Source organism: Homo sapiens, chromosome 3, assembly GCF_000001405.40.
Source record: "Homo sapiens chromosome 3, GRCh38.p14 Primary Assembly".
NCBI classification, from domain to species: domain Eukaryota; kingdom Metazoa; phylum Chordata; class Mammalia; order Primates; family Hominidae; genus Homo; species Homo sapiens.
Genome location: NC_000003.12, coordinates 151203868 through 151229186, shown reverse-complemented (window position 1 = coordinate 151229186; position 25319 = coordinate 151203868). Strand labels below are relative to the sequence as shown.

The following is a 25319-nucleotide window of genomic DNA, read 5'->3' as shown; positions in this document are numbered from 1 at the left end:
ATGGGAATCACTTCTGTACAGTATTTCTACTCCCACTTAAAATTCTGGATATTTATATTCTTTTCCTTTGGCTATATAAGCCTGAATCTTGAACAAACACACAAGTGGTTGATATTCAGCTAAGCAGTTAAAGCTGTTGTTTTCTCACACATGGAAATTTGTCTTCATCTTCACAGCAAAGGATAACCACTAATGGTCTAACAGCCCCATGATCTGCAGATCTGAGTACTGCTTGCCTGAGAAATGCAAATACCATCTCAGTGAGGCGAAAAGAGGTCATGGATTCATTTCCTTGCCTGGCCCCAGGGAATAGGACCACATATTCCAAAACAATGCTGCAGAAGAACAGGCTGGAAAAAATTCAGTAATTCAGGCAGCTCAACCTAGTTCCAGGAGAAAAAAGAATTGGTTCCCAAAACCCTGAAGCCAGGAGTGATGCAGAGCTTTGTGCCACTCTCATGAAAGATTAGCATTGTGTAGGGACTGGTAAATTAGAACTGAAACACTCTGGACTTCATACATACACTCTGTTGTTGAGTGCCACTTCCTGTGACTAGAATAGAGGGATCATCAGAAGCAAAACCTCTCCCAATTTGTCCCTTGTTCAAGCACTGCTGGGCCACATACTGGAGGAAGCTCAGAGCACTCTGCAAAGGGTCTACTGTGCCTCCTGCAGCCCTGAATTTCAGTGTAGAAGAGCGTCAACTTAAATCAACTTAAAGAAGAGGGGAAACTGTCAGGAGCCTGATAGTTTATTCTGTTATCAGCTGAGTCACTCCCTGTACGCGCAATGTTCCCACTGAGTCACAGCCTGCCTCACACCAGGTATTTGATTCTTATGGGAACAGGAACCCTAGATGTAGCTGAGGTAGCTACTACTTCTCCCCTCATTTTAGACATGTAAAAACTGATACACAAAGGCAGTTAATAATTATCGCAATATTCTAGCGCCATACATGTAGCCAAGGCCCACTGTATCCCACAAGCATGCATGTAATCATTATGCTGCACTGTCTGTCCTCTGTCCACTATTCCAACAGAGCAGTAAATAAAGCACACTTCACATTCCTAGACCTTAGCATACAGATTACTTACTGCTGATGAGTTATTCAATTACAGTTAAGGTCTGACCCCAACAAGAAAGCTAAATTCTCTTCCTGTATCAAAATCATCTGAAACATACCTACCATTAAGGGGTCATTCCAGTGGTTCTCAAGAAAATTTAGAAATGTGTGGGGACGTGGCTGGTTGCACAAACCATGGCGTTCTACTGCCACCTAGTGGATACAGGCCAGGGATGCGGCTAAACACCCAACAATACACAAGACAGCCTACCCACAAAGAACTGAAACCGAAAAAAACAGTTAACAGTACCAAGGCTGAGAAACCCTGGACTATTCCAATCATTATAGGCAAAAAATTACAGGTCCATCCTGACTACCAAGATGCAGTCCCTAGAGTAAAGGCTAACAGTGGGTGGCCATTTTCCTGGCCCCCAGTTTGCCATTCGGGAAGACTGCATGACTATGTATCCATTGGAGGTCATGAGGTGCCTATGCCACACCTCACCCTCCACTGACAGCTCCCATGATCCATTTGCATAATCACAAAGTGAAGACAGGCTGGAGTTCTTAGACATGCCAATATGCTAGACTTGCAGTCTGCCACAAGCTATGCCAAAAGTGTTTTGAGGGAAGCGATTAGAATACAAAGTAAAGACTATGTTTGGACGTTATCAGTTTATAAATCCAACCTAATCCGTCCCCCCTTACCATTCTCACACATAATCAAGAGTTGGATCTGTTTGTAGCAGAAATTCAGATTTCTTTTATCTTTATGGGTTGTAAAGACTGTGAATACGAAGATCAAGAGGGAATCAAGAGAGGGCCGAATTTATGCTTTGGTGGAGGAGGAAGTTCTTGGGTATCTGCAATTCAGCCTAAGAAGAATATTTAGATATTTCTAATGTGAAAACTTAGCACAGCTCCTCAATGAAAGTATGTGGCCACACCATTCAGCCAATTTTAAGTTACATTAACACATGTTGGTCACTGACCTGGATTCTAACTGAAGGTAAAGTCGATGGGTCACAGCAGCAGGAGTTAGGATCAAGTGACCTGATCTTGAGCTCACATCTCCTGCCAGAGAAAACTGGCTGAAGGTGACAAACAGCAGCAAGCAGAGCTCTCCTTGTGCCAGGGGCCCCAGGGGATCTGCGTGTGGCATCCAAACCACATGCAGCAGATCTGGGTTTCTCCCTGCAGAAGAGTTTCCACCATTTATAGGTTAACGTTACCTGTTGTAATCACCATTCATGATAGTCCGACTCTGTATCTCTCTTTGGATATCAACGCAGGAGATAGAAAACTGAGTCAAAAAATCAGAAACTCATTTTAAATACTTTTAGAAACTGGCAAATCAAAAGGAGGTTCTCTATGCCGCAGTATCTGGAAGATAACTGAAGAAACTGAAGGCATCCACCTCATGCAAAACCTTAAAACTCAGATCAAAAACAAAAATAATATATATACTCTCAAACATACACACATGCACATTCCTTTCTTGAAAAAAAAACACTGGCTGACTTCTCAAGATGCGACTCCAGCAAAATGTTGAAGGGCCTGTGTAAAGGATCACATTCATATAAAACATGCTGCCCCCACATTCTTTCAGGAGCAGGGGAGCCCTGGCTTGGAATCAATCAGACATTAGTTTGAATACTGTCTGGCTATGTGTTAGGTGCCCTTTGATGAATCACTTAACCATTTTAAGCATCACTGTCCTCATTTGTAACGTAAACGTTTACTCATTGGCAAGATTCCATCATGTTACCCAAGAGCTTAGGCCATCCATTTTCCCCCACTGTGACAGCCTCTCGTGTCAGTCTTGATGCCTGTTCCTATAGCTCTCTCACCCCAAAACTCCTTCCTTCTTCTTTGCCTAGCTAAAGCCAACTCATTTGTCAATCTTCACTATCACATGCTCCAGGAAGGCTGCCCTGATGCCACCATTTCTGAAACTAGATACGTGCTCACTGTGTTCCTGTGCTTCCTCCTTCAATGATGACCCCATGTCATACCTTGAAGTGTCCCTCTGTTCAGCCTCCCCCTAGACTGGAATCTTCCTGAGAGTTCCCTGATGTGTTTCCATAGGGCATGGCAGCATGTTCTGACGGCTTTATAGTGAGCAAATGAACAAAAGGCCTTGGCAAAGGAAGAAATATCAGGGGTACACAGGAGCCAAAGGTTACAATGTACTTTATAAACAGCAGATTTCAACAAGGGGAAATCAATGATATCAAAAACTGCAAGCAAAGAGGTCAGGAAATAGAATAACTGAGAAAAAGACAACAGACTTAGAAATTAGGTCCCTGACAGCTTCTGAGAAGTGTGGTGAGTGTCAAACATCAAATGCTGTGGGTAATGAAAAAAGATAGGGGGTGGGAGAGTTCCTTCTTCTGGGTGAAGGAGAAAGTGAGATTCTCCTTGACTGAGCCTAGACAGGGCACGGACAAGAGTGCCACAGGAATGCAGAACACGGATGAGACAGCTACCGATAGGATCTGACAGAAAGCTGCTACGGTTTGAGTGTCCGTTTCAAAATTCATTTGAAATTGATTTGCCATTGTGACGGCATTAAGAGGTGGTACCTTTGAGAGATGATTAGATCATGATAGCAAAGGCCTCGTGAGCAAATTAATGGTATTACTGCAGAAGTTGGCCCTCTTTTTCTCTTGGTCTCACATGCTCACTTGCCCTTCCACCATGATGCAGCAGGAAGGCCTCACCAGATGCATCCCCTCCATCTTGAGCTTCAGAGAATCCAGAACCATGAGCCAAATTAATTTCCTTTCTTTATAAATGACTCAATACGTAGTATTGTTATAGCAGCAGACAATAGACTAACACAGGAGCTAAGCAGAAGAAGGATTTCTGAGAAATAAGGGGAGTGTAGCCAATTACAGAGAGAGAACAGCAACTTCTGTGAAGTCGAGGGCACCCTGGACAGGTCTATGACTTAGAAACATAGGACATTGTTTACCCAGCCCTAAGGAGTCACAGTGCTGGGGCAGAAAGGCAAGCCCAATAGGCAGGGTGAAAGAAGTTCTAAAATATCCAGCTCTGCTTGGGTAAGAAAAGCTAGGAGGCTGATGACAGAGAGAATTAAATAACACTAGTAAATAATATAAAATATTTTAAAGATGTAAAACGCTGTAAGTTATTTTAGTAACATAAAATGTAATAAGCATGTTCTGATGGCTTTAGTGAGCAAATGAACAAACGGCCTTGGCAAAGGAAGAAATATCAGGGGTACACAGGAGGCAAAGGTTACACTATATAAACAGCAGATTTCAATAAGGGGAAATCAATGATATCAAATGCTGCAAAGAGGGTCAGGAAATAGGATAACTGAGAAAAAGACAACAGGCTTAGAAATTAGGTCCCTGACAGCTTCTGAGAAGTGTGGTGAGTGTCAAACTTTAAATGCTCTGGGTGATGACAAAAGATAGGGGGTGGGAGGAGGATTCCTTCTTCTGGGTGAAGAAGAAAGTGAGATTCTCCTTGACTGAGCCTAGAGAGGGCACGGACAAGAGTGCCACAGGAATGCAGAACACAGATGAGACAGTTATTTGTAAATTATTTTAGTAACATAAAATGTAATAACACAACTATAAATACACGACACATAAATACTATGAAAACCGCATAGGCGATCACATTGACACCAAAAAAAAAAAAAGTGTTAAACATTAAGGCATGAGAGATTAAAGCAGCAAGAAAATGGCTTCAGTAAGTTTAAAAATGTATAAATGATTACATACATCTATACTATTTTCTATTGATACAGAATCAGCTAGAAAACAAGTATTTATCTCATAGAAAAAGATCCAGAGCACTGTGTATTAAAGCTTTTGATGTCTGGACTGAAAGGAAGGAAAAAAAATATATAAAAGTTGTACCTTTATAAGAACTGAAAAAAGAAGAGGAAGAAAAATGCACGTCATAAGTGGGTACTGATAAAAGCATTATTTGAAGGCAATCCATTCTCCATAGATATTTCTATTCCTAATTATGAAATAATTTAAATATACAAAAACAGAAGTGCAGACACTAATGTTGATAACACCAATGTACCAGTCACCAGTGTTAATAGGCAGTAATATTAGGCATATTTGATTCAGAATTTAAGAAATAAAATATCACAGATACAGCAAAGTCCAACCACCCTACCACTTATAAGCTCCCACTTGTAAGTTAAAACACGAGGTATTTGGTTGGGTGTAAGGAGGCTGGACTTGCTCCTACTTCCCTCCCCAGGAGTAGGCAATGTTCTTTTCTTTTTTTCTTTTAGGTTCAACAGTTACATGTGCAAGTTTGTTACTTGGGTATATTGTGTGACACTGAGCTTTTGGGCTTCTAGTGAACCCATCACCCAAATAGTGAACACAAAACCCAAGAGTAAGTTTTTCCACCATTTCCCCGCTTCCTACCTCCCCGTCTTTGGAGTCTCCAGTGTCTACTGTTCCCATCTTTGTGTCCATGTGTATCCAATGTTTAGTTCCCACTTATAAGTGAAAATATGTGGTATTTGGTTTTCTGTTTCTGTGTTAATTCACTTAGGATAATGGCCTCTAGCTACAACCATGTTGCTGCAAAGGACATGATTTCTTTTGTATGGCTGCATAGTATTCCACAGTGTATATGTACCATATTTTCTTCATCCAATCCATCATTGATAGGCACCTAGGCTGATTCTATGCCTTTGCTATTGTGAATAGTACTACAATAAACATGTGAATGAAGGTGTCTTTTTGGTAAAACAATTTGTTTTTCTTTGAGTATATACCTAGTAATGGGATTGCTGGGTGAAATGGTAATTTTATGTTTAGTTCTTTGAGAAATCTCTACACTGCTTTCAATAGGGACTGAACTAATTTACAATCCCACAAGAGTACATAAGTGTTCTCTTTTTTCTGCAATCTCACTGACATCTAGTTTTTTTTTTTTTTTGGACTTTTTAATAAAAGCCTCAATGTTGTAAAGTTAGAATATATGATTTACAACCAGCACATGTTCCATACTGCCCTAGGCCACTGAGATTATTACTCCATGCAGAACTTAACCTCTTTCTTTCCAAAGAGAATCTCATGACTTTTTAGGAACATTCTAAGTAAATATAAGATGATCACAATCGCCACCTCTCAAATAGGTATAAAATACCAATTTACATTTCCAAGAGACCATAAAGATGGGAAGATTATGATGAAATGTAATGAATAAACTTGGGCAAAGATCCTAGATTTCAGGCCTACTTGGAATATAATTTTTCTTGTCTAAAGTCCCGACTACAACAAAAATATTTTACCATCATCACCTTTATTAAATGTCTCCTGGGCACAGGATCTGGGGGAAAAAAATGATGCTAACTCAAAGAGTGGTACATGGACCAGCAGCATATCATGCTTTATTAGTCCATTTTCACACTGCTGATAAAGACATATTTGAGAATGGGCAATTTACAAAAGAAAGAGGTTTACTGGACTTATAGTTTCACATGGCTGAGGAGGCTTCACAATCATGGTGGAGCACATCTCACATGGTGGCAGACAAGAGAAGAGAGCTTGTGCAGGGCAACTCCCATTTTTAAAACCATCAGATCTCATGAGACCCATCCACTATCACAAGAACAGCACAGAAAGATCTACTCCCATAATTCAATCATCTACCACCAGGTCCCTCCCACAACACATGGAAATTAAGGGAGCCACAAGATGAGATTTGGGTGGGGACACAGAGCCAAACCATATCATTCCACCTCTGACCGCTCCCAAATCTCATATCTTCACATTTCAAAACCAATCATGTCTTCCAACAGTCCCCCAAGTCTCAATTCATTTCAGCATTAACTCAGAAGTCCACAGTCCAGAGTCTCATCCCAGACAAGGCAAGTCCCTTCCGCCTATGAGCCTGTAAAATCTAAAGCAAGTTAGTTACTTCCTAGATACAATGCAGTACAGGCATTGGGTAAATGCAGTCATTCCAAATGGGAGGAACTGGCTGAAACAAAGGGGCTACAGGCCCCATCCAAGTCCAAAATCCAGCAGGACAGTCAAATCGTAAACTTCCCAAACGATCTCCTTTGACTCCATGTCTCACACCCAGGTCACGCAATGCAAGAGGTGGGTTCCCATGGTCTTGGGCAGCTCCACCCCTGTGGCTTTGCAGGGTACAGCCTCCCTCCTGGCATTGAGTATCTGCAACTTTTCCAGACCAGCGGTGCAAGCTGTCAGGGGATCTACTATTCTGGAGTGTGGAGGATGTTGGCCCTCCTCTCACAGCTCCATTAGATGGTGCCCCAGTAGGCACTCTGTGTGGGGGCTCCAATCCCACATTTCCCTTCTATACTGCCCTAGCAGAGGTTCTCCATGAGAGCCCTGCCCCTGCAGCAAACTTCTGCCTGGACATCCAGGCATTTCCACACATATTCTGAAATCTAGGCGGAGGTTCCCAAACCCCAATTCTTGACTTCTGTGCACTCGCAGGCTCCACACCAGGTGGAAGCTGCCAAGGCTTGAGGCTTGCACCCTCTGAAGCCATGACCTGAGCTCTACAAGGGCCCCTTTCAGCCACACTAGAGTGGCTGGGATGCAGGGCACCAATTCCCCAGGCTGCACACAGCACAGAGACCCTGGGCTGGGCCCACGAAACCACTTTTTCCTTCTAGGCCTCCAGGCCTGCGATGTGATGGGCTTGCAGTAAAGACCTTTGACATGCCCTGGATACATTTTCCCCATTTTCTTGGTGATTAACATTCAGCTCTTTGTTGCTTATGCAAACTTCTGCAGCCGGCTTGAACTTCTCGTCAGAAGATGGGATTTTCTTTTCTATTGCATTGTCAGGCTGCAAATTTTCTGAACTTTTAAGCTCTGCTTCCCTTATAAAACTGAATGCTTTTAACAGCACCCAAGTCACCTCTTTAATGCTTTGCTGCTTAGAAATTTCTTCAGCTAGATACCCTAAATCATCTCCCTCAAGTTCAAAGTTCCACGAATCTCTAGGGTAGGGGCAAAATGCCTCCAGTCTCTTTGCTAAAACATAACAAGAATCACTTTTGCTCCATTTCCCAACAAGTTCCTCATTTCCATCTGAGACCACCTCACCCTGGACTTTATCGTCCATATCACTATCAGCATTTTGGGCAAAGGCATTCAACAAGTCTCTAGGAAGTTCCAAACTTACCTACATTTTCCTGTCTTCTTCTGAGCCCTCCAAACTGTTCCAATCTCTGCCTGTTGCCCAGTTCCAAAGTTGCTTCCACATTTTCAGATACCTTTTCAGCAATGTGCCACTCTACTGGCACCAATTTACTGTATTAGTCCGTTTTCACACTGCTGATAAAAATGTACCAGAAACAGGACAGTTTACAAAAGAAAGAGGTTTACTGGACTTACAGTTCCACATGGTGGGAGGCCTCACAATCATGGCAGAAGGTGACAGGCATGTCTCACATGGCAGCAGACAAGAGAAGAGAGCTTGTGCAGGGCAACTCTCGTTTTTAAAACCATCAGATCTCATGAGACCCATTCACTATCACAAGAACAGCACAGAAAGACCCACCCCCATAATTCAATCATCTCCCACTGGCTCCCTTCCACAACATGTGGGTATTACGGGAGCTACAAGATGAGATTTTGGTGGGGACACAGAGCCAAACCATATCACGTGCCAAACTCCAGACATAATGGAATCTCAGTCCTCATTTTAGCAAGATCCCAGGTAATGTGTATGCACATTAAAGTTTAGGGAGCACTCACTGGTTTAAAGAATTCAGAAATATGAAAACCTAGACTAAGGCAGAACCAAATCCAACCACCATTTTGCTAAACCTATCCTCTTCCTATCAGACCACATGGCTTTCAGGTGTTATCTCTGCAAAGTCCACACATTAGTCTCATTACACTGGTGGTAATCAAATGAGGGCAATTTTGTCCCTCAGAGGACATTTGGCAAAGTCTAGAAACATTTTTGATTACCGCAACTTGGGTAGTGGGTTACTGGCATCTAGTAGGCAGAAGTCAGAACTGCTGCTAAACATCTTACAATGCATAGGACAGCTCCCAAAAATAAATAATTATCTGGCCCAAAAGGTCAATAAGACAAAGGTTTTTAAAAAACAAAACAATTAAAAAAATCCACCTGCAATTAGACTTATGATTTCATGGCTAAGATGAATTGTTATATTCAGTCATTTGATAAATTGATTCGATCATCCATATCCAAGGGGGGGGGGGGGGTAATATAAACCAATAACCAAAACCACTTCATGCCCAAGCTCTCAGAGTTTAAGTTTCCCACAAGAGGCTGCAACCAAATCAATAATCAATAATGACAACAAATAGCAAGTATAGTGAAACAACAAATGCACATGTTGAAATATTTCACAATTACACAAGCTGAATTTAAGAAGTAAGTACAGACATATTTTCCCAATAAAAAGTCAGGTGCTCACTTAAATCTTTGGTTTTTTGTTTTGTGTAATGCAGGATCTTTAATGAAAAAACACTTGGGCCACTTCAAGACGACAAACGCTCACTGGGCAAAACACCTTCACTGAAAAGAGACCTCATATTATGCAAAAAAAATCTTAAAAGGTAATTTTTTAAATCCCTCAAGTATTATCAAGAGCTTTGTTAATTTCATCGAAGTGCTATGAAGAAAAAATTCTTTTCTTCACAGAAGGAATTACAGCTCACAATTAGGAAGGTGGAAGGTGTTCTAATACAAGAGGAAAATAGGTCATGGTATATAATTACACAGATGAGTAATGAACTCAGAGCTGACTAAGCCTGCTTTTATTAAGATGAACGTATTTCTGGAGTGAGCAATGCTTTGCACAGCCTTGTATCAATTAAATTCTGTCCAAAGAGAGAACCCTGAGGTTATCTGTAATACATGACAACTTGAAAACACTTCATGCAGCACAATCCTAAGATATTACACTGCACTAAGGGACAAGTGCACTCACTATCTAAATCAGATTGAATCTTTGGCATTGACATTCTTTCTACACAATGCTCCCACTACACTTTAATAACTGTCTTTGGGCCTCATAAATCTCATTCTGCCATGTTCTTTAATTATGTTACCAAAGTCTCCAAAGTGACAGTAGACAATGTAGGCTAAAACATTTCAGACCACTTCATTCTCATATATCTGGATTTGTGAAACAAGGCAAAATTTCACTGAAGAAAATTTCAAGACTTACACTATTACAGTATACCCCCCCTCTTTTTTTTTTTTTTTTTTTTTTTTTTTTTTTGAGACTGAGTCTTGCTCTGTCACCCAGGCTGGAGTGCAATGGTGGGATCTCGGCTCACTGCAACCTCCGCCTCCCAGGTTCAAGCAATTCTCCTGCCTCAGCCTCCCAAGTAACTAGGATTACAGGTGTATGCCACCACACCTGGCTAATTTTTTTATTTTTAGTAGAGGCAGGGTTTCATCATGTTGGCCAGGCTGGTCTCAATCTCCTGACCTCGTGATCCACCCACCTCGGCCTCCCAAAGTGCTGGGATTACAGGCTTGAGCCACCGTGCCCGGCCACAGTATTCCTTTTTAAAAAGTTTAGCTATATATATGAATCTTTCTTAAATGTGATCTCTAGAATTTAGGAAGCATTGTTTATATTCCTAAAGCCTCAAGGTTAACATAATGACAACTTTCACAGCAGAAATTCAGTGATAATACCAGAAGTAACTATCAATGAGCAGGGCTCCACAAACAGACACCTACACAAACTGGCTCACCAGACTGCCTGCTTATCCAGTAATCCAGTTAATCATCATCCAGAAGTCCTGTTCATCTTTTAATTTTTTTCTGTTGCCTATCTCTCCTCTTTAATGGACTGGCATGAGCTGGTAAGAAACAGTGAATCAACTGAGAAGTGGGCAGGGAAGGGAGGGTTGCTGAGCACACTAAAAGCTTCTTTTCTGATTCTTTTGGTTCTTATTTATTTTTACATTTTTGTATAAAATCAGCATGAGAATAAAACGATTTCCTTCATTTGTGAAAGATTTGAAGTTTCTGTAGGTCCCTGTATGAGGACATTAAATCATCTCAATCTGTACTAAAGATAAGGAGAGGAGACTGAGTAGATATCACGAGGTCCAAATGATGCATGTCTTTTTTAATGATTTTGTCCTGATTTTCATCCAACACATATTCCTGCCTTTTGGTCTCAATATATAATTTGGTCTTACTTGCCTTAAGAGAGCTTCTTTTCCACACATCTCTCAGTCTATTACTGCTCTGATCTGCCCTACAGAAAAGGCTGCCATGCTCTAAGACACTTGAACCCGTAAGACAGTATGTTCTCACCATTAACCCCACTGCTTTTAAAAAAAAATCAATATTTAAGAGTTCAAAAATTACTACCAAGAGTATCTTGGAATTTCTCTTTAGCTTGTTCCTTTAGAGTGTTCCTTTAAGATGAAGAAATCTGTCCTGGCATGAGCCTCTGCTGTATCAAACCAGACAGTGGCACAGGGTAGCAGAGGCACCCAACCAGCATGTCTAAAACCTCCCACCCTAAACTGGAGGCTCATCTGCAATTGCATCAAAACTGCCAAAATAGCAGTGTTTGGGGAAAGGGCGCAGGTAAGCTGTGTGCATTCACTCCATTTCAGGAGGCAAAGCTGCTCTAGAAGTTTACCTTGGTCAGTCAGTCCCTTCCATCCAACTCAAAGTGGTGGGAGCAGTGAAGGGGAATGGTGTATATCACCAGGGCATACACATGCAGATTCCCAGCAACCTGAGGAATCTGAGAGCAGAGTTCTGGACCTGCAGCATTAGGTCACATGCAGAAATACTGCAGCTCAAAAATACAAAAGACACAAGACTCTGAGAAAATAATTTTATAAGGGTTTCTATAAGAAAAGGAATTATGTCTCTCATTAAATCATTTCTGGGATTCACTATTTCTATAAATAGTGGCTTCTACAATATTTCTAAAAGGAAAGGAATTTGGCTCTCATTAAATTATTTCTGGGAAATTATTCAATATTTCACCATATAACTATATATTACACAGTTATTATTTCTGTTTTCCAAAATAACAGCTACAGTTTTTTATATTTTAAACTCAAGTGAATCCCACAAGTACTCAGTACCTACCATGAGTATGACACCACAATGGCCAGGCGCTGGGGGGTTGTGTGGCTTAGGACTGGGAAACCAAATTAGACCTGGGAATACAGCAGCATGCATTCTCTCAAGCTCTGCAAGACTGGCATTTAAACCAAAATGCATCTAACTGTCAAGAGACAGTTACCAGACAAATTAGTTACCAGCCACAGACTCTTAGTCACAGTAGACAGCTAAAAATGGAAAATGTGCTCCCCCTCCCTTATCTTTTAAAATATGAAACAGGCTCATAAGGAGAAAGGCGATAGAAGACCTACAAAGAAGCAAATGAGTACAAACCCATCATGCCCAGAGCCAAGCACACAAGGCTACAGGGAAGAGGAAGAATAGTGCTAGTGAAAGGTTTTGTGGAGGAAGTGATTTGGGGTACTCATTCCTTCTATAGGAAGTCCATAGACTGGCAAAATCAAGTCTATCAATATTTCTAGTTTTGCCATAAAGCAAAAGGAAAGCATATGGGAAAGGAAAATACGCAGAAACAAGATATTCTTGTGTAGGAAGCAGCACACAAGTTTACATGGATGTACTATTTTTTATGTGGAATGTGACTGTATTTCATATTCCATATTTCAAAATATCCCTTTGTCATGCTTAAATGTATCAACCTAACTTGTCATTCACTGTGATATGCACTGTGCTGGCACCACAAATACAGATGAAAAAGATGCATTCTCTGACATCAAGGTACCCACTGTTCCCACAATCTTTCTTTCCCTTGATCCCTGAATAAATCTTAAGAGCAAGGATTCATGCCTTGTATTCCCAGAGTGCATATTCATTTATTTCACAAATATTTTAACTATCTAATGCCCTAAATATTATGCAAAGAATTCAAGAGTAAAAAAATGACATGATCTTTCTCCTCTGAAGGAGCTTGTAGTAGTGGAAGAGACAAACAGCTGGAGAGAGGAGTGTTGATAGGAGAAAGACACAGGATGATAAGCACACACTCAACCCACCCCAAACCAGGCTAGGAAAGTTGAGGTTTCCTAAGGAAAGTGACAGCTAAGCTGAGGCCTTGAGGATAAAGAGAAGTTAGCCAGCCAAGAAGGTATGGAAACAGTTTTCCACACAAATGAAAGTCTGTGCAAAGGTCCAGGCTGAGAGAAATCACAGAACCTAAAAGGAGGCAGATGGGCCCAGGACAGCAGGAACTCAGTGCTGGGGGTGGAGGAAGCAGGAGGCAGAACAAGAAAGGACTTCAACATTACAGACTTAGGGCATTCTCCTGAGGGCAAGGACAGACTACTAAAGGGTTTTAAGCAGGATAATTGGTACTGTTCACATATAAGATGGGCAGTAAACATCTGTTCCGATATATCAAATAACCTTTTGAATTTAATTCTAGTCTTCCCTCTGCCCTAAATCAACACTTCCGACATCAGTGAAGAATATACAGGATTCCTAAACAATAGAAGTTCTGGATAACACCTAGCACAGCACTGTGCAATAAAACCATAATGTGAAACACATATGTAATTTAAAATTTCCTAGTAGCCAGAGTCTTAAAAAGTAAAATTAAGTTAAATTTAAGAGTAATAATATATTTTATTTAATAGAGCATTTGTAGAATATTACTTCAACATGTGATCAGTATTAAAAATACTGAGATATTTTACATTTTTTCATTCCAAGTCTGCAAAGTCTAGTGTGCATTTTATACTTAACAGAACATCTCAATCTGGACTGGCCATATTTCAAGTGCTCAATACCCACACATGGCTAGTGGCTACCATACTGAATAGTACAGATGTAGAATGTACTTTGGGAAGCATTTCTCAGAATGCTTAAAGTACTTTTTATCATTTGTTTGTATTTGTATTCTAATTTATTAAAATAATGCAAATCAGTTTTTCAATGGGAAAAAAAAAAAGCTCAATATTGAAAAGGTACCCATAATCCCATACCAAAAATACCGGTTAACATTTGAATGTATATGTTTGTTAGACACTGTCTTCATGTCCAACATATATGTAGAATACACTTTTCTAAAAGTAAGGTCCGTCTGAATAGCTCTTAATATGTAAACATTTATAATGATTTTTATGAATCCATAAAAATTTCTCTTTTAGGAAAAAACAATCACATTTCCAACATAGGTTTTAAAAAAATACATTACACATGGGATTCTGAATAAAATAAAACATTAATTCTGCTTTTACAGTTACTACCTTTTAAGATTATACCTAAATGAGTATTTCCTAGAACTCTGGAGTTTTATAGGGAACCATTATTATTTTAGGGGCATGCTGGTCTCCGTATTACCTAGAAGTTCTCAGAGACTGCCCTGCTGCTCCAGTTTCTCTTTACTGCCACCTGTCTGCTCCATTCTTCCCTTTTCATTGCCCAAAAAAAAGGAAGAAGGAAGAGGAGGGAAAAGGGAGGGGGAGAGGGGAGAAGGAAGAAAGGAGTGGGGGTTGGTGGGTAAAGGGGGAAAGAGGGAGGGAAAGGAGAAAAGGAAGACCAAAAGAAAGAAAAGGAAGAACAGAGGGAGGGAGGGATGAGTGTCTAACTTACACAGAGTAAAAAGGTGGCTTCAAAAATTTGGTAGGTTTGACTATATTCATTGCCCTTTGCCTTATTACTCAGCAAATGTCTTGGAGGCCATAAGTGCCCTATGAGTGACCAGTTCACACCTCTTTTCAGGCCTCTGCCTTCAGAAGTTACAAGATGATCAATTCAACCTCCACACAGCCTCCAGATGAATCCTGCTCTCAGAACCTCCTGATCACTCAGCAGATCATTCCTGTGCTGTACTGTATGGTCTTCATTGCAGGAATCCTACTCAATGGAGTGTCAGGATGGATATTCTTTTACGTGCCCAGCTCTAAGAGTTTCATCATCTATCTCAAGAACATTGTTATTGCTGACTTTGTGATGAGCCTGACTTTTCCTTTCAAGATCCTTGGTGACTCAGGCCTTGGTCCCTGGCAGCTGAACGTGTTTGTGTGCAGGGTCTCTGCCGTGCTCTTCTACGTCAACATGTACGTCAGCATTGTGTTCTTTGGGCTCATCAGCTTTGACAGATATTATAAAATTGTAAAGCCTCTTTGGACTTCTTTCATCCAGTCAGTGAGTTACAGCAAACTTCTGTCAGTGATAGTATGGATGCTCATGCTCCTCCTTGCTGTTCCAAATATTATTCTCACCAACCAGAGTGTTAGGGAGGTTACACAAATAAAATGTATAGAACTGAAAAGTGAACTGGGACGGAAGTGGCACAAAGCATCAAACTACATCTTCGTGGCCATCTTCTGGATTGTGTTTCTTTTGTTAATCGTTTTCTATACTGCTATCACAAAGAAAATCTTTAAGTCCCACCTTAAGTCAAGTCGGAATTCCACTTCGGTCAAAAAGAAATCTAGCCGCAACATATTCAGCATCGTGTTTGTGTTTTTTGTCTGTTTTGTACCTTACCATATTGCCAGAATCCCCTACACAAAGAGTCAGACCGAAGCTCATTACAGCTGCCAGTCAAAAGAAATCTTGCGGTATATGAAAGAATTCACTCTGCTACTATCTGCTGCAAATGTATGCTTGGACCCTATTATTTATTTCTTTCTATGCCAGCCGTTTAGGGAAATCTTATGTAAGAAATTGCACATTCCATTAAAAGCTCAGAATGACCTAGACATTTCCAGAATCAAAAGAGGAAATACAACACTTGAAAGCACAGATACTTTGTGAGTTCCTACCCTCTTCCAAAGAAAGACCACGTGTGCATGTTGTCATCTTCAATTACATAACAGAAATCAATAAGATATGTGCCCTCATCATAAATATCATCTCTAGCACTGCCATCCAATTTAGTTCAATAAAATTCAAATATAAGTTTCCATGCTTTTTTGTAACATCAAAGAAAACATACCCATCAGTAATTTCTCTAATACTGACCTTTCTATTCTCTATTAATAAAAAATTAATACATACAATTATTCAATTCTATTATATTAAAATAAGTTAAAGTTTATAACCACTAGTCTGGTCAGTTAATGTAGAAATTTAAATAGTAAATAAAACACAACATAATCAAAGACAACTCACTCAGGCATCTTCTTTCTCTAAATACCAGAATCTAGTATGTAATTGTTTTCAACACTGTCCTTAAAGACTAACTTGAAAGCAGGCACAGTTTGATGAAGGGCTAGAGAGCTGTTTGCAATAAAAAGTCAGGTTTTTTTCCTGATTTGAAGAAGCAGGAAAAGCTGACACCCAGACAATCACTTAAGAAACCCCTTATTGATGTATTTCATGGCACTGCAAAGGAAGAGGAATATTAATTGTATACTTAGCAAGAAAATTTTTTTTTTCTGATAGCACTTTGAGGATATTAGATACATGCTAAATATGTTTTCTACAAAGACTTACGTCATTTAATGAGCCTGGGGTTCTGGTGTTAGAATATTTTTAAGTAGGCTTTACTGAGAGAAACTAAATATTGGCATACGTTATCAGCAACTTCCCCTGTTCAATAGTATGGGAAAAATAAGATGACTGGGAAAAAGACACACCCACACCGTAGAACATATATTAATCTACTGGCGAATGGGAAAGGAGACCATTTTCTTAGAAAGCAAATAAACTTGATTTTTTTAAATCTAAAATTTACATTAATGAGTGCAAAATAACACATAAAATGAAAATTCACACATCACATTTTTCTGGAAAACAGACGGATTTTACTTCTGGAGACATGGCATACGGTTACTGACTTATGAGCTACCAAAACTAAATTCTTTCTCTGCTATTAACTGGCTAGAAGACATTCATCTATTTTTCAAATGTTCTTTCAAAACATTTTTATAAGTAATGTTTGTATCTATTTCATGCTTTACTGTCTATATACTAATAAAGAAATGTTTTAATACTGTCTATTTTTTCTTAATAATCAACATATGAGGAAACATTACCAGATTTCCTCACAGTCAAGACATATGTAGTTTCTTTATATGCTCAATTATGCATGCTAATACAATGGAGACAGTTACATAGAGAATTCAAAAATTCTATCTGCCAGTGACTTTTCAGAAGAAGTACTCCAGATAGGGCATGGTGGCTCACACCTGTACTCCCAACACTTTGGAAGGCAAAGGTGGGCAGATCACTGAAGTCCAGGAGTTCAAGACCAGCCTGGGCAACATGGCGAAACTCTGTCTCTACAAAAAAATATAATTAGCCAGGCGTCGTGGCATACGCCGATAGTCCCAGTTACTGGGGAGACTGAGGTGGGATGATCACCTGGGCCCAAGAGGCAGAGGTTGCAGTGAGCCATGATTGTGCTACTGCACTCCAGCCTGGGCAACAGAGCAAGAACCTATGTCAAAAAAAGAAACAAAAGTACTTCATATGTCCTATAACCTCATCAATATTTTAGGCAAAACTCAGAAAAAAATACCCTAAATTGGGGAAAAGCTGGACAGGTTTTTTTTCCCTCAGTATCTACTTTCCACTGTTCTAATAGTTCCCAATTCTGGGTCAATCAGACCGTCTCAAAAAATAAAAAACGAAAATTGCTATGCTATCACAAATGTGCTTGGTAAACTAAGCTTGCTATAATTGTTTATCTAACTACATCTGCAAAAAAAAAACAAAAAACAAAAACGAAACAAAAAAAAAAAACAAAGGCAGTGTTTATTCTTCACAACTTACATTGGCCAGGACAAATGAGTAAATACTAGGGTTTTAAATGCCCCCTACTGGGCCATGGTAAAAAAGTGAAAGTGAAAAAGAGAAGATGAGTAGCACCAAGAAATGCCTTTGTAAGCATGTGCTAAAGCAGAATAGCAATGCAAAAGTAATATTTTTCAGGAAACAACATGGATTGCAGATAAGGATATTGTGAAGCAACAGCTGAGTAATAGTTACTACCTATTAGAACTTTCAGGTCCAGAGTAACAACTAAAAACCAAGTGGCAGAGCACCAGCAATAATAAATTAACCCAGCGACTTCCCAGAAATCACTAGCACTAGTGTAGGTGGGCAACAGGGAACACTTGCCAGGTCCTTTTGTAGATAAAGCTATAGTGCAGGCACGCCAGTGTTCAGGGTGCCCACCGAGGCTTACAACTCAGGTGCCTGCAGAAGGCACTGTAAACACAGCTGTAAGGAAACAGGGGAAGCTAATGACAGTCTGCTGAGAGCCTCTGCCTCAGAGTCTCTGCCAAGAGAGGCCAAAGGGCTCTCAGCTCTAGTCAATTATTTCCTCATTTTTCAAGATACGAAAAGTCACAAAGTTTTTCCATTGCTGGGGCACCAATGAAAAGAAAATATACCTGCAGATAGAATATGCTAATGGCTACTCTGTAACATGTGGAATGCAGAAATCTCACAGAAAGATATTCAAAAGTCACTCATGACGACTAAAAACCTCCCTTTAACAGAAATCCTTACATTCCATTTTGATGCATAAGTGATTCAACTACCTATACAAAATGTTTTAAGGTGTTTTTATAAAAGGAATATTTGAGATAAGAGTAATAAAGAAACAGATCATAGAAAGATCATAATCATATAAAAAGATCACACACTGACATCTACCCACTGAGGTGGATGAACCCTGCAATGGTCTTTTACGAAATGTTGTCATCACTAGTGCTCATTCGTTGGTCATCTTCAGCCTCCGTCTTCTTTGTCCAGAAACAGAAGCAAAACTTTTCCTTTGGGAAAGTCATTCTGTCCTGTTCTCAACCATGCAGCTATCATATGCAGCTGACCCCATCCCCCACATAAGGGGCCAGCCATAACTGACTCTAGGCAATCAGCATGTCTGATTCCACTGGCCACAAGTTGGGATGGAACATGATCCAATTTGACCTAATAAGAGCAAGTTCTAGGCTTCTGAAAAAATTATCTGGAGGGTGTGCCATGAAGATATAAGATCTAGAAGCACTTCTTTCATCTGGCTACCATAGGAAAGAGAGCCTAAAGCACCCTATGAGTTGAAATTGACACCATGGAAGGCACACTGAAGACATGGTACAAACCCAGTCCTGGTTACAAAGCTGAGTGCCTGCATCAGTCCTAACCTAAAAACATACCCACAGCCAATAAGCCCAATTTTAATTGGTTTCTTTTCTCTTTCTTTCTTTTGGCAACTACAAATGAGAAACTCGTGATACACTGGCTTTATCTAACAGAGTAATCTAAAGAGTTCAGAAGTTCTAGAAAACACCCTCACACAAAGCTGTACTTCTGCTTGATGATGTTAGTCAAGTATGTGTCATTAGTTCTGCGCTCTATCCTTAACCCTATCGCTGCCATCTGTATCTTTCAACTCTGGAGAAAAAGCATCAATAAATACAAAAAACATCTGTAACATCAAGAGATAATATTATACAAATTACAAATATAACAGATCACTCCCCCAAAATGACACGGGATTTCTTTCGGGTAAGCAGCACTGTGAGGGTTTGTGTGTTTGGTAGTGTGTGGTCTTCAACAGTAAAAGCCATTACTTCCTTTTGTTCACTATTTTCCACAAGACTCTAATGGCATGTGGATTACCGTTTCAAGACAAGACATGCCCGTCAAAAAAACCACTTTAACAAAATGTAGTTTTTCTTTCCCACAGGTCACTTTTCAAAATGTTTTAACCACTTTATAGTACTGCTTGTACAAAATGATTAAATGTCGTATTAATTTCTCTGCAGTAAACGTATGTGATAAATATTACATGTGAATCAGCTACAAAAAAACAAACAAGAAAGTGCGCCCCAAAGCAATCTCAAGATTTTTAGGAAATATGAGATGTTACTGCATTCCTATCTCCCCCTGCTTCAATAGAAGTTGGGTGTAAGTAAGAAAGGGGTGTTATAAAAATAGGCCCACCTCAATAAACAGGAAAATATATGACAGGTATTCTCACTGATAAAACTTATAAGACTACTTGTTACTTTTTGAAGGTGTTCATTGTATGATTCTATGGCTTCTCTCATGGTCACCGTCATAGCCACTAGCCACTTCACTCCACTTCCTAAATATTGTATCATGTGTTTTGGGGACCTGCAACACAGGACTTAAGACAAGGGAGTAAATTTGTTCTTTATCAGCCTCCAGGTGTCACCAGCCTTAACTCCCATGGTATCAGCATGGCAAGGGAAGCCCATACCTGCACTACTTCTCCCTTCTCTCCCAAATCCCCCATCATCTGATGACCTGCTAAACCTGCCCCAGAAGTGTGTGGCAAAGGGCTTACTTTCCTATCATTCCATTTCCTGACACAAATGAACACCAAGAAAACATGGCCCTCATCATATCCATACAATATTACATATTACTTAAATTCTTGATTTTTCTGTTTTCTTTTTTTGACATAGAGTCTTGCTCTTGTCCCCCAGGCTGGAGTGCAGTGGCGTGATCTCAGCTCACTGCAACCTCCACCTCCAGGGTTCGATTCTCCTGCCTCAGCCTCCCAAGTAGCTGAGATTACAGGTACCCGCCATCACGCCTGGCTAATTTTTGTATTTTTAGTAAAGATGGGGTTTTACCATGTTTGCCAGGCTGGTCTCGAACTCCCGACCTCCGGTGATCCATCCACCTCGGGCCCCAAAGTGCTGAGATGACAGGCGTGAGCGCCCGGCCTCAATGTTCTATTTTCTAAGCTAAAAGGGTCTCTACATTTAACTTGCAGCTTTTTTCAAGCTGTTAGTTATGTTGTACTTTCAACCATTATCTTTCTAAAGGAATACTAGCTCTCTCTGATATCATATTGACTGCATGAGAACATAATCCTTATAAAAGCCAACTTCAACTCCACATCAAATTCACTTTCTTGTTAAGAAAAACAAGCAACTATAAAAAAATTGGCATGGCCAAGTGTAGTTCATATCTGGCTAACAGTATGAAAGTAGTTAGGTAAAAAATAAGAAAAATGGTCTTATTTTAAATAAGAAAACCAGCATTTCCATCAAGGCCATTCAAAATAAGAGCTCCTTAAGTGTTTGCAAAGTACATTCAGAATGTTCTGGTTAATGACAGATAAAGCTCTGAGAAACATTTAAAACCTAAATGAAAAAGAATAAAATAAAAATCTATCTAAGCTATATCAAATAAAAACTTTGTCAGCCAATAAGGCAAATTCACCTTTCTATCTGACCAAGCTGCCTCTCTCCTCAGACTTCCTTTCCCAGGACTAAAACCTCAGTCTCCTCTGCTCCCTCTCTACCCCACCCTGCAGTGATCTTACTTCTGCAGTGGTTCTCAGCTATTCCTCCCTTCCCATGTAATTTCAGATCCTTATTGCTTCTCACTTAAAATGACTGCAATCTTTCCTTAACTGGCTTCTCACCTTCCACTTTCTCTCCTAACCAAGCAAACTCCAATGTTGGTAGATTCACCTAATACTGCCCAATTGACAGCTCCTTGCCTTGTATAACCATGAGCTCTCCAATGCTTACTTTATTAAAATCCCAGGGAGCATCCAAGATTTGGTCTCAATCTTTTCCTCACAGAGACACCCAAGCCCCCAAATTGCCTGACAGTCCCCCCCAAAATTTCTCATACTCCAATTATCTGTGTCATCCCCCAAGCATGCCACCTTGTAGCTCATTCTGAAGAAGCTCCTATTCACCCCACCACAGTCTGGAGCATTACAATACCCGGATTCCCACAGGTTCTAACAGCACATAGCAGGTGATAAGATTCCTTTTCATTCCTGTACAAAGCATAAAATATTCTCCAGGATAAGAGCTCAGGAGGCAGCCTGTAATTGATAAATATTTGCTGTTATAATTTTTCATAAATACTTGATCAAGAAATATTCACATGGCTGGGTGCAGTGTTGTGCCCCTGTAGTCCTAGTTACTCAGGAGGCTGATGCAACAGGATTGCTTGAGCCAAGGAGTCTGGGACTGCAGCAAGCTATGATTAGACCTCTGAATAACCACTGCACTCCAGCCTGGACAACGTAAGACGACCCTGTCTTAAAAAAAAAAAAAAAAATCACATGGCTAGGAAAAGGGAGATGTTCTCCAAAGAACATTCTCCTGGAAAGTAACTAAAAAGTTTTAAAAATGTGTTCTGTGCTTTGAAAATGTGTTAGTCATGGCCGGGCACGGTGGCTCACATCTGTAATCCCAGCACTGTGGGAGGCCGAGGCAGGTGGATCACGAGGTCAGGAGATCGAAACCATCCTGGCTAACACGGTGAAACCCCATCTCTACTAAAAATACAAAAATTTAGCTGGGCGTGGTGGTGGGTGCCTGTAGTCCCAGCTACTCGGGAGGCTGAGGCAGGAGAACGGCGTGAACCTGGGAGACGGATCTTGCAGTGAGCTGAGATTGCACCACTGCACTCCAGCCTGGGTGACAGAGCAAGACTCTGTCTCAAAAAAAAAAAAAAAAAAAAGATAATGTGTTAGTCATAAGTTCATAAGAAATGGACCATAAACAAACAAATGGGGGAAAAAAAGCATGAAATTCAGTGACTAAAAAGAAACGAGATAATCTTTAAAAGTTCTTTATTATAAATTTCCCCTCCATAAATTATCTTTTAACCATGGACCAAATAGCAGTCACACCTCACAACCAAAAGGTAAAATGAAATGTTGACGCAATAACATCAACAAAAAGGCAGACAACCAAAAGGACTGTCAAGGGGAAATGACAGGGTAATGTACCCAGCCATTCTTTTAACTGAGTTCACATTCCAAGAATGTGAAAAAAACAAATTTGCCTTCAAATCATTTCCAAACATGTATTCTCCATTTCAGTAAAGAAAAAAAAACAAGGCAGAATTTAAATAATACAGAAACAGTAACATGGAAACCATACGTCTACATTTCACTTTAAAACTACACTGCTTAATCACATCAGTCACTCTCAGATTTAAAGCTACCAATCTCAGAGCACAGAAAAAAATCTTTGGGCTAACGCAGGTGGGAAAGAATATTATGTGCAAAAAAAAAAAAAAAAAAAAATTATTTTCTTTCAAAACATAACCCTGAAGCACAACGGCTATAGAGAGAGGGCTGAACTGGAGTTGCACAGGCTGTGGCAGAAGTGACTGATCATAAAAATCTTCCATTTGTAAATTATTTTGATGTAAGAGCGTCCCAAATTCACATTCCAGAGGCTGAAAACTCCATGAGGAAGGCAAGAACAGTGGTACACTGTTCTACCACCCAATGGCATGCAAATTCAAATGGTTACAAATACTAAATGGGAAGGGGGACCGGATTGACCTGATGGCCTCCATTGTAATCACTGTCCCCAGCAATTTCATTGTAAGAAGCATAACTAAGAGCTGGGACGCTAGGGTCTAACTGTGCAGGCTTGAGTGGGCCTTAATTTCTCTGCACCACAGTTTCCCCATCTGTAAGAGGCAGAATCTCCTGTATCTCATGGCTTGTTTTAACAAAAACAAGTCCTCAGACCTGTGCCCGGCTGTGGCAGTGACCACCGACCCCAACATTTGCTTTCCCCTTCCTCATTAGTTCCAAATGGCTTCCATGCTATGCCGAAAAAGCACATTTTAAAAACGCTAAATATTCAAAGCAAGTATTTCTACTGAAATACCGTTGTTTGGTATTTGTGTTCAATAAAATCAAAAGCACGTTTTGTATGGATAGGAGAGTTGACCACAGAAAATATTTTCTTTCTCAATTCATAACTTGGTGGACAATTTAGCTTTAATTTTTATTTTACACATACAAAATATCCATGAAATATTCATAAGTAATGAATAGATTATTTCTTTAACAAAAAGTACTGCCATGACCAAGGTAAGGGAAAAATAACTTCACCTCACTTCTTCCCGCTTGGGTGTGTATTAGTGATGACATGCAACTTCCCGGAACACTAAGTACAGTCACAAACACTTGTCCTCAGTGAAACAGATAGAAAAAAGTGGCTTATAGAAAATCAAATGAAACTAGTATTAAAAAATGAAAACTACATGTATTTCCACTGTGAATAAACTTCCACACAAAGCCAGGTTGCCTAAGCTCATTCTCAGAAGGAGGAATATGATTCATCTATTAAAAGATTAATTCTCACTATTCTAAAAATTAAATAGAACTCTGAGAACAAGGGCACTTCAGTGCTTTCACATTTGGCAATCCAGACACAGAAACTGTGGTCTGGGTAGATTTTTAAGTACAATTGTTTGTACTTTTCAATTGTGTCTACAACCTTAAAGTGAACCGAGGAAGTAAACATATAAAGAGACCTAACTAAAAAAAGCAAAACAGAAACTGTCAAAAATCTTTCATCCCAGTTTTTCTCCATGCCATGGTAAAATCATTCACCACTGTTTGCAGTCAACTCCACTCATCTCTAAATTCTCTCCCTTTCATCTCCTCTACCCTCCAGTGGATGTAAACCCTGATCACTTCTCACTTACTTGTCTGCAAATATATCTTTTCTACAAGTATGTTCTTCAGTGAGTCCTGTACAATGTTGAAGCATACATATCTTAAAAGAAAGATCCTTTCCTAGCACTATGATGATGAAGTTCACAGTGGTTCTTAACATAAAATGTTTGAGAAACATTTGCTTTTTCCCTCCTAGTTTATAATTTATGGTCTTCACTGGCAAAAATAATAATTATATGAATTTGGGAGAATGTCAGAATACCTGAGACGTGACCAATATCATCATAAGCATCTTTACATTTTTTTCAAAAGTCTCCTTAGACTTTCCCTAAATTCTCCCTAGCTAGATACTTCTCATTTCATCTTTTGAGACATTTTTCTTTTTAAAAACTAATACCAAGAGATTAATTTTAGATCCTGGAAAGGTATCTTCTTTTTTCTTATCCAGAAAACTGACCAAGTATTATTAAAAGAAACCAAAGCACCTACCAAGCCAATGAAGCATTAGAAGAAACCAGACCCTAAATAACCAGGCAATGGCTTTGCATTAACACATCAACTTTGAACCAGAAAATTCAGAACTCTTGAAAATATGTTTGTTAGGTCCCCCAGCATGCTAGGCTTCTTTCAAACATTCAGTTAGTTCTGCCACAGACACAATGAACATTTAACCAAACAACTTAAATACACACTGTAGGGTTCCTTTACACACAATCTATTAATTACTAAATACTATTCCAATTCATCAGGCTGTTTGAGTCAAACAGACAAATACTTATTACAAGTCTAATCTCATAAATTGAATATAT

The 25319-nt window shown here is 39.8% G+C and overlaps 2 protein-coding genes across 30 annotated transcripts in view, besides 1 other annotated feature; one reads left to right on the top strand and one right to left on the bottom strand.

Moving 5' to 3' along the window:
- P2RY14 (purinergic receptor P2Y14) overlaps positions 1-17070 on the top strand; it is a 66426-nt gene extending 49356 nt beyond the window's left edge. For 4 of the 6 annotated variants that reach the window (NM_014879.4, XM_005247922.4, XM_017007583.3 and 1 more), the window contains 2 exons: positions 9545-9652; positions 14847-17070. In NM_014879.4, coding sequence (NP_055694.3) covers positions 14871-15887 — 1017 coding nt within the window. In that variant the 5' untranslated portion in view covers positions 9545-9652; positions 14847-14870 and the 3' untranslated portion in view covers positions 15888-17070. The remainder of the gene's footprint in view (positions 1-9544; positions 9653-14846) is intronic. The other 2 variants (XM_011513340.4, XM_005247923.4) reach the window with 1 other exon arrangement.
- MED12L (mediator complex subunit 12L) overlaps positions 1-25319 on the bottom strand; it is a 350990-nt gene that overhangs the window by 207467 nt on the left and 118204 nt on the right. The gene's annotated exons all lie outside the window — the stretch shown is intronic.
- Positions 17852-18146: a silencer, noted in NCBI's record as "tiled region #7583; HepG2 Repressive non-DNase unmatched - State 2:TssF". NCBI's record gives its function as "represses a minimal TATA promoter and a strong SV40 promoter by Sharpr-MPRA in HepG2 cells {active_cell/tissue: HepG2}" and the evidence as "EXISTENCE:reporter gene assay evidence [ECO:0000049][PMID:27701403]".